The following is a 13,583-nucleotide window of genomic DNA, read 5'->3' as shown; positions in this document are numbered from 1 at the left end:
ATAGTCATAATTGGGAGGTCACCTTCCATGTCAACTTATAATGTTAAAAGAATACCACCCCATCCCAAGGCTCTTTGGGAGTGTTGAGCATTTTGTCTTTAGTAGTGGTTTCATATCTCATGTCCTCATTCACCCATCACCTTTTGTTTCTCAGAGACAACTCCTGCATAACAAGATGAAGAATAGACTTGGGATAATTTGTCATAGCAGGAGTATAAAACCAAGTGGCTCATCTTACTAAAAATAGTTACAGGTTATCAAGTCAGAAATAGTTTCAAAGAGAAGGTCATCATCTGAGCATTGGAGTGAAGGGGATAGCATTTCAAGTGAGGGGTGTGACAGGTAAACACCTCAGTGTAGGGATGAAACAGTATGTGAATGAATAGATTGGACTTGGCTAGAAAATGAGTGTGAGTTGAAGAAAGGAGGAAATGCAAAGTTGGATAAATGGTAGTAGTAAAGTGAGGAATGATGATATCATTAAAGAACTATTGAATGCTCTAAGCAGGATTGACAAGATTAAATTAGTTGGTTTTTAAGGGAGATTAATTAACAGAACTTTATATTTGCATTTAAAAAATGTTTTTCCAATACATCCGTTAAACATATTGGCTTTTTTTGGGAGGCCAAGGCGGGTGGATCACGAGGTCAGGAGATCGAGACCATCCTGGCTAACAAGGTGAAACCCTGTCTCTACTAAAAATACAAAAAATTAGCCGGGCGCGGTGGCAGGCGCCTGTAGTCCCAGCTACTCGGGAGGCTGAGGCAGGAGAATGGCGTGAACCCGGGAAGCAGAGCTTGCAGTGAGCCGAGATTGCGCCACTGCAGTCGGCAGTCCGGCCTGAGCGACAGAGCGAGACTCCGTCTCAAAAAAAAAAAAAAAAAAAAAAAAAAAAAAAAAAAACCATATTGGCTTTTATCCGTTTTGCTCTGTATCTCATGTGGCTTACACATAGCCTGCATGATGCAAACTCAACAATGTACTTGGATTTCTTTGCTGTCTGCCAAAGTGTTTTTTGAAGCACACTGGTTATTCCCTAAAGTGGCTTTAGTCTTGTCTTTTTGATTTGTTTTCCTGCTTGCATAATGTGGATGTGAATCTGAATGTATGTTTCTGTCTTCATTTGAGCTTTATTAACAAAGCAACATAAGCATTCTTTCTGCTAATTCTAGCTTAGTACATAGGGATTGTGCTGACTGCCTAAGCTTTTCCCTAAATAAATACCTTAATGACAACTAATTAGGCTTTCATTAAACCATATTTGTGGAACATCACCTTGAGTACAAAACATATCTATTCAAGTATTGACTTTCATTTGGAAAACAAAAACAGTCTGTAAGAATATGGCTCTAAATAGAAAATATTTTTACCTGTTCACATAAATCATTTAGAAGAATAACCTCCTATTCACCGGGTATAGTATTCTGAGTTGACAGAAGTGAACACAAATATGTCGCTCTGTTGTCTTCTGGCTTGCATGGTTTATGACAAGAAGATAAGTTCTTATTTACTTTTAGATAAAGTGTTTTTTAAACTCTCTCTGGCTGCCTTCAGGATTTTTTTTTTGTTTGGTTTTTACTATTTGAATATGATATGCCTAAGTGTGATTTTTTTGGGGGGGGTGGGAGGGGTAGTCATCCTGCTTGGTGTTCTCTAATCTCCTTGGATCTGTGGCTTGATGTCATGAATACAGGAAAACCTAAGTCATCATTTCCTCAAGTATTTCTTCTGCCTCTTTATCTCTTTCTTCTCCAGTTATACAGTATGTACATCGTTTGATATTATTCCACAGTGTTTGGATTCTTTATGCTGTTTTCATTCTTTTCCTCTCTGTATTTTATTTTGGGTTATACATATTGACCTGTCTTCAAGTTCACTGATTCTAATATGTGTATTACATTGTGGTTTCATTTTGCATTTACTTAATGACTAAATATATTGAGTATATTTTTATGTGTTACTTGCCAGCTGTGTATCTTTGATGAAGTATCTGTTCAGCTATTTTGCCTGTGTTAAAAAATTGGATTGTTTCTTCTTTTTAAATGGCAGGAAATAAGGAGAAGTCAAGGAAGACAGCTAGATTTTTAGTTTGATTACCTGAGTAGATGTTACTACTATTAGAAGACTAGGGGAAGAACAGGTTGGGGGAAAATTCCAGTTGTGCTTTTGTCATGTTAAGTTTGGGATGCTGATTAGATATACAAATGGAGATGATAAATGTTCAGCTGGATATAAATCTGGAGTTCAGGGCATAGGTTTGGACAACATATGTACTTTGGGAGTCATTGGCATATAGAAAGTACATAATTCCATGGATTTGGATGGAATTACCTGAGGACAGAGGCTATACATAGAAGAAAAAAGGGCTACTTTAACAGAAGCTTGGGGCATGCCAGCATTTAGATGTAAATCCAATAATGAGATTTGAAAAGTAGCAAATATTGAGGTAGTGAAAAATCCCATCAAACTTTTTGAGTAATTTTCACTCTGCAAAAGCACCTAAGGGAGTTGCATTTTTTGGACCCCAGGTTGTTCTTAGCATGTTCCTAACCAGTGAGATAAGAGAAACATTACATGAAAATCTCAGAAAAGAACTGCTAACCATGTTGGAATGTTCTGACACAAAATCCAGTTCACATATTCTTAAGCAATGTGTCTTAAGCAAAAGGTATCTTAATAACAAATATTAATGATAAATTATAAGTTCTCATGATTATTGCCCATCTTTCTATGGAAAATGTTGCATTTCTAATAATCTATTGTAAGAGCCCATCCCATATAGCTATTTTTAAATGGTCAATTTTGAAACATTGTCAGGATTCCTGAGTCATGAAAATGTTAAATATTGGCATATATTTTTAAATTTACTGTTTAAACACCAAGTGTTATAAGAAAAATAATCATAACTTACTTAGTAAGTCAATAGTGTTGACACAGGGAACAGATAATATTATTTATATAGTGAGATACTTTCACCATATAAATACCAAAACATGAAGTGCCTCTAATTTATGGCCACTTCTTCATAATACAATAATGAATCGCTAATGAGGCCAAGTAAGCCTAGGTTAAGGGATGATGATGGTTATGATAATGACAGTGATCTACTGAAAGTAGCGAGAGATAGAGGAGATAAAAATTGGCTGAGGAGAAAGGAATTATCATTGTTTGTACTGGCTTATAGAGTTTTGGGGCAGAGATAGAGCGCTGCTGCTAGTGAAGGAAATAACATTCACCATTTTCGTAGTATTGTGCAATATTCTGTGCTTGGTCCTTGACATTAACAAATATTATTAAGCCTTCTGTTCCACTTTTCTGAAATTATGGAGCTTTTTTCTTTTTTGAAAAAAAAAAAAACTTTCTTAGAAGGCACAGAGTGACTTAAATGGTTAGAAGAGAAATATTCAAGCTTTGGGGCATCATGTGTATTTATCCATTCCCTGCTTCTGCCACTCTTGTTTCTGGACAGTAGGGTATATGTGTTGCTTTCACTACCTACCTTCATCCCCATTCACCTCTCTTGGATCTTACTTGACTTTGTTTTTGTTTTGTTTTGTTTTTTTGAGACGGAGTCTCACTCTGTCACCCAGGCTGGAGTGCAGTGGCATGATCTTGGCTCACTGCAAACTCCTCCTCCCAGGTTCAAGTGTCTCTTGCCTCAGCCTCCTGAGTAGCTGGGATTATAGGTGTGTGCCACCACATCCAGCTAATTTTTGCATTTTTAGTAGAGACAGAGTTTCACCATGTTGGCCACGCTGGTCTCAAACTCCTGACCTCAAGTGATCTGCCCATCTCGTCCTCCCAAAGTGCTGAGATTACAGGCATGAGTCACCACGCCCAGCCTTTATTTGACTTTGTGAGCTCCCTCATTAGTGACAGAAATTTCTCAGTATTTCTATTTAATTGGGCAAGCTTAGGTAGGTTGACTCGTTATTGACAAAAGGTCTGTCAAGCAATTAAATAAAGCAGGGTTATATGATACTTAAAATGGCTAGTATTAATTGAGTACTTACTGTCTACTATCCCAAGATCTTTGCATGCATCATCTCATTTACTCCTCAGAGCAGTCTATGAGGTAAACATTAGTTTCTGTATTTTACAGATGAAGAAAATGGCACTTAGGAAGCTGAAGTAACTTGCCTCATAACACTGTAAGTGGCAGAATTGACTGGCACCCTTGGCTTTTTGACCCTGTTGTAGTCCTTATCTTTGAACATTTTTTACTGTATGGAAAAATGTTTTCTGAGTTCTAGTAACTAATATAGAATAAACAGAATTTTGTCAGCATACTATGTAATACAGAGTGTCTGTGATTACAGGTTTTACTTGTTTGCTCACATTGCTGCACAATAGTCTTTTTTATTCTTTCCCTAAAAACCATCTCTACTATAGTGCCAACTAAATATTTTGGAATAAATTGAAGACCTAATTTTTTTAAGACTAAATTACCATCTTTGTCTCATCTGACTTGAAATGCCTCTGCCAACAACTCTACATTCTATATAGAGTATAACTAACATGTGGTCTGTAGTAGACATGCAGGAAATGCTTATGGAATGGATCCTAACATAGTGCTAAAGATGTCTCTGGTTTAGAATGTTCTGCTAAGCTCTGCAAGGCCCACTGGATATTGCTACAAAGCCTGCCTTTATACCCTGCAAGTGTAGGGTGTGGGAAAGGGAAAATAGTTTATAGGCCAGTAACTACAAGTCAAATGATTTGAAATTACCACAAATTAGATAAAGTTAATTTCTTCTTTTCAACTTTTGAGGAACATAATTGTTATGTTCAGATAAACTGCTGGTGTAATTATCCTTTTCTGCCAAACTTAACTTCGTAATCACAAAAGCCAATTTTAACTTGCTAGTAACCAACTTCTGGTTCCCATCTTCTAGTGCCTTTATGCGATTTTACTAACATAGGCAGGAATTTAAAGCCATTGTCTTCAATCCTGTCTCTGAATCCAGGCATGGTCAGTAGTGATTTGTTTCTAAATCTCAAAGTTCCACAATTAGCTGTTTAAAAATAGAGTTTTGGACCAGTAGCTTTTTTACTCTAGTTTATTTCTGCCACTTGTAGTAGCATAAATGAAGCTTCCTCGTCTAAGGTTATGTCCTGGGCAAGTAAAAGTCATGGAGTAGAAAATTGATTTTTTTTAATGATTTTGAATAGTCATAACTGCTGCTTAATGGAATCATCTTGGGTGGACTTAGAGGTAGTTAGTAATGTGGGAACCCACTGGGCTGTGTGCTGGTTGTCTAGGATTTTCATGATGAAAGACTTAGAGATACTTCTACTGCCACTCTTGGTTGTTGGTTTACTAGCCTGAGATGGAAGATGGTGTCAGAATTCATATTGGATGTCTCAGAGGCAACTGCTCACAGGATCCAGGCAGGTTAATTAAATGACTGATGATGGCTAGACATAATGTGATAGGGAGCAATGTAGACTTTGGTGAACTGGAGAGCATATGTTTCCCCTAAATGCAAAAACTGCTGTTCATTTCCATCTTGTTACTGTCATGGGAGAGTGTGAGCCTGTTACACCAACACCCAAATTTTTTAAAGGAGTTTGAAACCTGAATCTTATTGCAAAAGTTTTCATGTTTTAAATATTGGTAACTAATACAAACTTTAAAATTATGAGCCAAATACAATATATCTGTGGACTGAATGCAATCTACGGGCCATCAATTCGTGGACCTCTGGTGTATCCTATGATATAGGGCAGTAGTTTCCCCATGGATATAATTTGAGGAAGACTAGGATTATATCCTAAGAGATTTCATTCTTTTGTGCTAGAGTTGTTCTTCCACATACTCTTCACACATTGTTTCTTAAATTCCTCATGACAGCGAGAGTGAAGTTTCAGCTCTTATCTATATGGGAAGAAAAACTGGGGCCTTGGGTAGGAAGAGTTGAGCACCTGATATGGAGCCACTAAAAGTTAAGACAGAATGGTAGGCCAAAGCTGCCAAGTTTGGGACTTGTATACCTGTTTGGAAATGTCAAAAGTTCTTGTTAAGTAGAAGCAATTGTACTGATCTTACACATATAGATTCTCCAGAACTCTTGCCAGGATATATCCTTCATCCTACCTCGTAAATATTAAGAGAGTTGTTACAAACCTAGTTGATACACTAGAGAAAATAGTAATTCTGTTCACAACTTAGCAGCAGAGTCATAAACTGAATAAAGTTTGATTCCTTAGATGAGCAGGTAAAACTGTCATTGTTTACTCTTTAAAGGAGAAAGAACGTTGATAAATCAACCCAGCAAAGACCATTCTTTTTGGTTTGCTGCCTGTGTAAAGACGACTACCAATGTTCATTTTACTACCATGAAAACTTAGACCAGAGGGTTGGTGGGTATTAATGTGATCTGTTAAGGGAGACTAGTAACCTATTTTATTGGATATAGACATTTTCATAGAAATGCTCAACACTACTGAATACATCAAAAACCATACTTTATTTTATGTATAGCAATACAATTTACATATTAAATAACACTATAATAGAATGATTTGATATAGTTTAAACAGAAGAAAAAGGGAAAAATTTCAGGTTACAAAACCCCTCCCCCTGAACAAATTTAAAAAAAAAAAAAAAGCACACTTTTTCCAAATGGGTCAATGTGACGAATGTTTTCAGTGACTAATTATGTCTAATTCCTATTGCACAAATGGTCAATGGAATTAAAAAGAAAACCCAACTTTCACAATCACTGCCTCAAAGAAATAACACATGTTGGATTCTTTTGGAATGTAAAGATGGTTTTTGCTACTTCAATACACAGAAAGTTGAATTCACATATCCACCACAAAAAGGAAAAAAAACTATGACGGAGTTGAAACTAGAAAAAAATTAGCTTTATATGAAAATATAAAATTCTATGATTATATACCATAGATACAAAGTTCCCAGAAGATGCTTACCCAAGCAACAAAATATTTACAGTTTTAATGATTTTTAGCTATTTCAAAATGGAGTGAAAGAAACATGAGTCAATGTGAAGCCAGAATTCTTTAGAAACAATGGCTGCTTGCTAGTTTCAAATGTCCTAACAAAAAAGGAGTCACTACCCCAAATGTTGGAGAGTTGCGACATTTTATAAAATCGACTTTCTCCTTTTCTGGAGATGTTTATTTCTTAAAACTCAAGATATTTTTCTTGAAATTAATTATCCTCTGTAGAAAATGCTTCCCTTTGCAAATATTTAACAAAAATACTAAAAACAGTTTAACAGCTAAGACAAAGTAGAGGCCAAATATCATTATTACAATTCCTTCCTATTTGTAGCATGCCTTCTTCTTTCTAGAGATAAGTAAAGCCAGTATTGTATGTTAAATGACAACTAAGGGAAAGCGCAAAGGGTTAAGTGAAATTACATCTGTTAAAAAAAAAAAAAAAGCAGGCATTTTCCCTTCATATAAAAATTCACTGGCACCATTTGAACATAAACTTTAGAACATAGGAGTTGAAAATGCATTTCCAGTATAACCACTAAATTCTTAAGACAAACTACATTTTGATTCTTAAATTATGATGAGTTGGGTTTTTTTTTTAGTTTTGCTTAGAATTAGTAATATGTATCTTTGGTAAATTGGTATCTATATTTTAATTTTAAATACAGTATATATGCATTTAAGAAAAATTCATAACAAGGCAGTTGTGCTGTGTCATTATAAAATAATTATTTACTGATTTCAGTATGTCACTCTGGGCTAAAAACTCCAACAACCAGAACTTGAACACCGTAACCCTTCTTTGGCCTCGCTGGACTCTTCTACTTGAATAGACTAAAAACTCTAAAGGCATAAAAATTAGGAAGACCAATTAGCTAATCTTACTCTTTTTGAAATTCAGAAATTAACTTTTTTCATATTAAAGAAGATATCTTGGCTATCGCATATAAGAAAGAGTTCTCCTGATGGCAACAGCATGTCTTTTCTTTGATGTCCAGCACAGCCACTTGGTCTGATCATTGCAATTTATTTTTATATGATGTGTGCATTTTGCTTACCTAGAGCTAAATTCATATACACAAACAGCTTATTTTATTAAGTTGCACACATTAATTTGCAATAGCTATTTCCTTTCCCCTGAGTGCAAGTGTTAATAACCTTGTTATGTACTTAAGCAATGTGCTTATGTCTCAAAGAAAACCCTGTCTTTGAAACTCTGCCTCTGGAAAGATGCAAGCTATGTTTTTGCCAATAACACATGAATAATAATAGTGAGGATATGCTGTCTCTTGCAGGGGTGAGGACCTGCTAAATATAACTGTCCTCATTGAAGTGTGTTTGGACTACTTTGGCAAGATGGGCAAGTAGCAATTGCTTATAATTCAGTGGGTCAGGATATGAAGACTTTGGTTCAAGCTCGCTGAAGACACACAGATTGCTCACAGGGAACTTCTAAACTCTTTCTTTTATTGTTTCTATCCTATTTACTAGCTGTTTTTTCGTGATTCTGAAACCACTGTAAGGGACAGCCACAGAATTGCATTGGAGGGTATGCCTTTCTACGAATTGAGCCCTCTATAAATAGCACAGGAGGGAATACTTGCTATTTGTCTTTGAACCAGTGTTTACTTTTATTAAGAAAAAATTACTGAGAAAGGGACCATGAACCCTAACTCGAACATTACTTTTGAACATCAAGCCCACTTTGCCATCTACTAAAAAGTGTTAACTCATATCAATACTCTATACATCTAAAACAACCCACTTAATTGACTAAAAAAAGAGTCTAGCTCATTGCTTTCCTGATTCTCCTCAGCATCTGGCAGTTGTAGTGTTCCTGTGTTCAAGCTTTACTTGAACTTTACAGAGCTTCCTGTGTCACCTCTGGTTGGAGCGGAGGGGCTGTAAAGGTGTCTCTCATCTAGCACATGCAACTTAGCATGCTCTCTTGAACATCTTATCTCAGGACTAGCTTACGCAGCTCTTGAAAAGCAGAGTATTCCATGTTGTTAAATCTATGTATTGAGAAGATGAGATAAACCCTGGTAAATTATGTAGTTTATGAAAACTCCATTGACCTGGCCTTTGCATTCAAATTCTTTAACTTGGCCCATAGCTTCTTTCTCCTTAGCACTTCTGGTCCTCCAGCACCATTCTGACAAACTTTATGAAAGCCAAATCAAGATAAATAGAACCTCAGTGCTGATCATCATTAATGTTTAATGCATACCCAGATGGCATGACAGCAGCCAGCGTGGCCTTTTTGTTGAAGTTAATTGACATAAAAAGTAAATAAAACCCTATTCTTCCTAACAGGCCCAGTTCTGGTGATGATTTCACTTTTGACAGAAGCTGTCCCTCAAAAGCAAACATGCAATAGAAGAAACAGATCTCAGTAAGTAGCTTATTTTCCTTACAAACACTACTGAAATTTCTTATTAATGCTCCTAATTTTCCCATTATGCACTGCAGCGTGAGTATGGCTCCAGAGGCTGCACCTAATAACTTCCTTGAGCTCTAATGATTATTGGTATCTTTTACTAATGTGTATCTGTTCTAAACTACACAAAAGCATACAAAGCCATCTCCCTCTTTTAAAAACTTGAAAATGTGGGTATCACCTTTAATTAAATATTTTAAATTTCTCTCTCCAAATCAGATTTATCTATGTGTGGGAGTTTAGATAGTCCCAAGACTTTTGCTAAGACAGTATTTCCAATTTAATCTTAAGTAGAAAAATGTATGTAATTAAGAGATTTATTATAAAACATTTGGCAAAGAAGGAAAGAAAACAGTAACTATGTAGGTAGTTTTTATTAGATTGCTATAGGAGTAATAGGGAATTTTTAGAGGACTAGTTTCAAAATTACACACCTGCAGAAGTTTTCATTCTTCTACCTACTGTGAGGTATGGTATTACAAACTAAGAAGCATTAATGGAGAATAACTAAAGGGTCTCATAACTGAGTTGTATATAATATTGCTATCTTGCTATTGTTAAAGATAGCCCTGATTTTAGGATGTAGCTATTTTAGAGAGTCAAAATGGAAATAACACATTGTCCACATAGCTACTGTGAAAGCTGTAATACAGAGTTATCCTTTATTTTGACACATTTTTAAAAAACTGTGAATATAACTTTGTAACTAATAAGGGATGTTCACATGAAGCAGTTCTTAAGCCTTCTAACTTCTTAAGGGATCTCTTAACCAGCATAAATGGAACTGTTTCAAGGCCATGACATTAACAGACCTTTTTAGGTCCCAGTAGCCTGCTAGTCTGTAAAAGAAAACAATGCTATCCACTCCATTAAAATACAGAAGGCATACAGTATTGAACAGTGCCTAAAATAAAAAGGAGAGGAGGACTGAAGAAAAGTACAGCATTGCCTGCTAGTAGAATGCAACCACTTCAGCAATAATAATAATAAAAGCAATATTCACTGTCATAACAAAGACCTTCACTGTATTGAACTAAAAAAAAGTAGCATGTATGTCGTCATGGAATGTCACATCAGGGTTTGCTGTTGTATAAGATTATAGGCAGTAACACTGATCATATAGTGCAAACTAGGTAAAATTGCGTTTCACTGTGTGAAATGAACAGAGGTGCAAATGCTCAGTAGGATACCATTAAGACATAAAATGGCAAAAAATAAATATCAAAACTTTTATCAGTGTAAAAAAGTAACTGGGTTATTGTATAACCTAGAGTCTGGCAAAAAAGGCCTCAAAAAAGTTCTCAGTCTTCAGAAGTTTACAAATTAAGTGCCCTTTCAGGATTCCAGTCACACTAGGGACTCCATGCTCTCAGCAGGGTCTGATTCATCTGCAATAAGAACAGCACCATTTTTGTCTACTGTCATGGGACCATTTCCATTTTCTTTAGTGCTGACCAAGCTAAGCATTGCTTTATAGATGAACTGGTATTGTTCCTGAAAAACAAGAGGAAGACAGTTTGAGCCAAAGAACAGTTTAGTGATTTCACATAAGGTGGAAATACCAATTAAAATGGTAATTGTGAAAAACACACTAGAGAAACAGCAATAGCATAAATGTTATCTAAAAAAACTAAAAAAAAAATCATTTGAATTTATTATAGTCAAGACCTATACCTTCTTCATGTCCTTTTGATCTCTGTTAGCTTGGAACCAATTCTCAGTGCTGATTGTTAATGAACAATCATTATTGGTTAATGAAGATAACCAATATCTGGTTAATATCTGGTTAATGAAGATAACCAGAGAATACTATCCTCTAAAGCAGGGCTTCTCAACCTGAGCACTACTGACATTTTGGGCCACATAATTCTATGGTGTTGAGGGCTGTCTTGTGCTGTGTAGTTTGCTTAGCAGCATCTCTGGCTTGTATCCTCTAGATGCCATCCATCTGCAGTTGTGACAAGCAAAAAAGTCTCCAGACATGGCCAAATGTCCCCTGGGGGGCAAAATCACCCCCAATTGAGAACTACTGCTCTAAACTGTGAGTCTGAGTTTCAACTGATGTAGTACAGGTTTTACACATAAGCAAACTACTTACAATGTCTGTGAATACTCCAGGCCTCATAAGATTGATCATTTTTGCAACCTGGAAAACATCCACAGCATTTTCATTCTCCAGTTGCTGGGACAGGGTGGTAAGGGCACATAACATTCCTGCTGAAACTGCTCCATACCTGGGGGAGAAAAAAAAAAGATACGATTTCAGATGTACAAAGGGACCAAATATATTGAAATGAAATTACTGTCATGTATTTTCATAGAAACTAAGTAGACTGTTTTGACATTTACTCTAAAGACACGACTGAATGAAATGCTGGTGGGGGAGGGATTTGGAAGCTAGCATAAAGGTGAGATTTGTTTATGAAAGTGGAGTATCCCAAATTGGTTCATGAGACGTTTAGCTTGATATCTAATAGGAAATGAGAGGTTCAGAAGTAGACTTAGGAGAGCTAAAGATGATTTGGTGTTGGTGATGAGTTGGGTGGTACAATAGAAAAAACAATAAAGAGAACCTCTTAACTAGACGTTATTGGACAAGCAGCCAGTGATGAAGGGCTCTGAATTTTTTTTTAACAATTCCAAACAGTTAAATTGAACTTACAGAATATGAAAAATTTAAAAATGGAATTATATGGCTCAAAACAGACAATTTCCAAAATTAATTTCATATGAAATAATTATTTTGGCACTGAAGTGGAACTTTCCTAATGAGAGCACTTTCTATGAAATCCTTGGAAAGATAAATGTGGTTCTCTTTGCCTCACAAAAAAGTCTTAGAAAGGTAGTAAATTTCCATCAGGCCAGGTTGGCAACTCCACTTTTCACAAGAATCTGTGATGGCACACAGTTTCCACATTAGTGATGAGAAAACAGATGGATTAAATGAATTGTTCAAGATGATGTTGCTGGCTGGTGGCAGAAATGAGACTGGAGTTCAGATGCCCTGTGCCCATTGTTTTTTGAAAAACTTAAATGTCATTTCTGAATTGTTACATAAAATTAAAATATTACATGTTTTATATCTTTAATACAAATAAGACCAGAGTCCCCCTTAGCCACCCCCCAACTTTAGAGGTAACCTCTCCAGAGGTAAAAATTATTACACGTGTAGATACAGCCTTCCAGATTTAGGTGTATCACTACATTTCAGTTCAACTCATTATTTCATCTGCTACATGCATACCAGGTTTACCTTCTAGATGGACATTTAGCTTGTTTGAATTTGTGCACTTTAGCATAGGTACTGAGTAGAAGGGCTAGGGTCACAGGTATGCCTGTTTTTAGTTTTAAAGACACTGCCATATTTCTTTCCCAAGTGGCTGTTACCTGTTCATACTATTCCCAGCACGAGAACACTTGCTTCTCCTCATCATTTTAAACTTGAAACACTTTTGCCAATCTGATGAGTGGAAGACTGTATCTTACTAGGGTTTTAATTTACATTTCCTTGATTACCAGGGAGGCTGAATGTCTTTTTATGAATACTGACCATCTATATTTCCTCTTCTGAAATCGCCTAATTAACACTTTTCTACTAAGTTTGCCTCTTCCAAAATGATTTATATAGGAGTTATTTTTATAGTGTCTGTAGTACTTGTGAGTTTTTTTGCCCCCCGATCTGTTTCTCTTAACATTGTTTGTGGTCATTTTGTTATACGGAAGTACAGTTTAGATGTAATCAAGTTGATACATCTTTTATTTTTGGCTTTTTTTGGAATCTTGTTTGAGAATGCTTTCTCTAACCTTGTATTTTAAAGATACTCTCCTACATGTTCTAATTTTACTTTTTTACGTTTAATTGTCTAATTCATCTGAGTCTTATTCTTGCTTTGATGTAAGGAAGGGGTCTGATTACAGTTATTTTATTTTTCCATTGGATAACCAGTTGTCCCAGCACTTCTTATTTTACAGTGTGATCTTTTCTCACTGACATCAGCTTCCTTTTTATCATGTACTACATTCTTATATATGCAAGCCTATTTCTGAACTCTGTTTTGACCTTTTATTCTGTTTGTCTATTTTTTGTACCTCCCCACGTGTATCCCAATTCCTTAATAAGTCTTGATATCTGATAAAGCAAGTTTCTGTAATAGTCTTGGCTGTCTCTACATTTAC

The 13,583-nt window shown here is 35.8% G+C and overlaps 1 protein-coding gene and 1 long non-coding RNA gene across 10 annotated transcripts in view; one reads left to right on the top strand and one right to left on the bottom strand.

Annotated features, from left to right (window-relative positions):
• Nucleotides 1-13,583, top strand: part of PTPRG-AS1 (PTPRG antisense RNA 1) — a 57,129-nt gene that overhangs the window by 14,886 nt on the left and 28,660 nt on the right. The window contains exons 3-4 of one of the 3 annotated variants that reach the window (NR_038281.1): nucleotides 9,284-9,362; nucleotides 11,345-11,448. The exons of 1 other annotated variant lie outside the window; for it this stretch is intronic. This is a non-coding gene — a long non-coding RNA (PTPRG antisense RNA 1). The remainder of the gene's footprint in view (nucleotides 1-9,283; nucleotides 9,363-11,344; nucleotides 11,449-13,583) is intronic. One more of the 3 variants, NR_038282.1, reaches the window with a different exon arrangement.
• Nucleotides 6,453-13,583, bottom strand: part of PTPRG (protein tyrosine phosphatase receptor type G) — a 736,039-nt gene continuing 728,908 nt past the window's right edge. For all 7 annotated transcript variants that reach the window (XM_017006961.2, XM_017006963.2, NM_002841.4 and 4 more), the window contains 2 exons: nucleotides 11,506-11,641; nucleotides 6,453-10,901 (listed from right to left, as the gene is read on the bottom strand). In XM_017006961.2, the coding sequence (XP_016862450.1) occupies nucleotides 10,755-10,901; nucleotides 11,506-11,641 (283 nt within the window). In that variant the 3' untranslated portion in view covers nucleotides 6,453-10,754. The remainder of the gene's footprint in view (nucleotides 10,902-11,505; nucleotides 11,642-13,583) is intronic.

This window comes from Homo sapiens, chromosome 3, assembly GCF_000001405.40.
Source record: "Homo sapiens chromosome 3, GRCh38.p14 Primary Assembly".
Taxonomy (NCBI): domain Eukaryota; kingdom Metazoa; phylum Chordata; class Mammalia; order Primates; family Hominidae; genus Homo; species Homo sapiens.
Note: the sequence above shows the minus strand (reverse complement) of the source record. Positions and strands in the feature narration are given on the sequence as shown.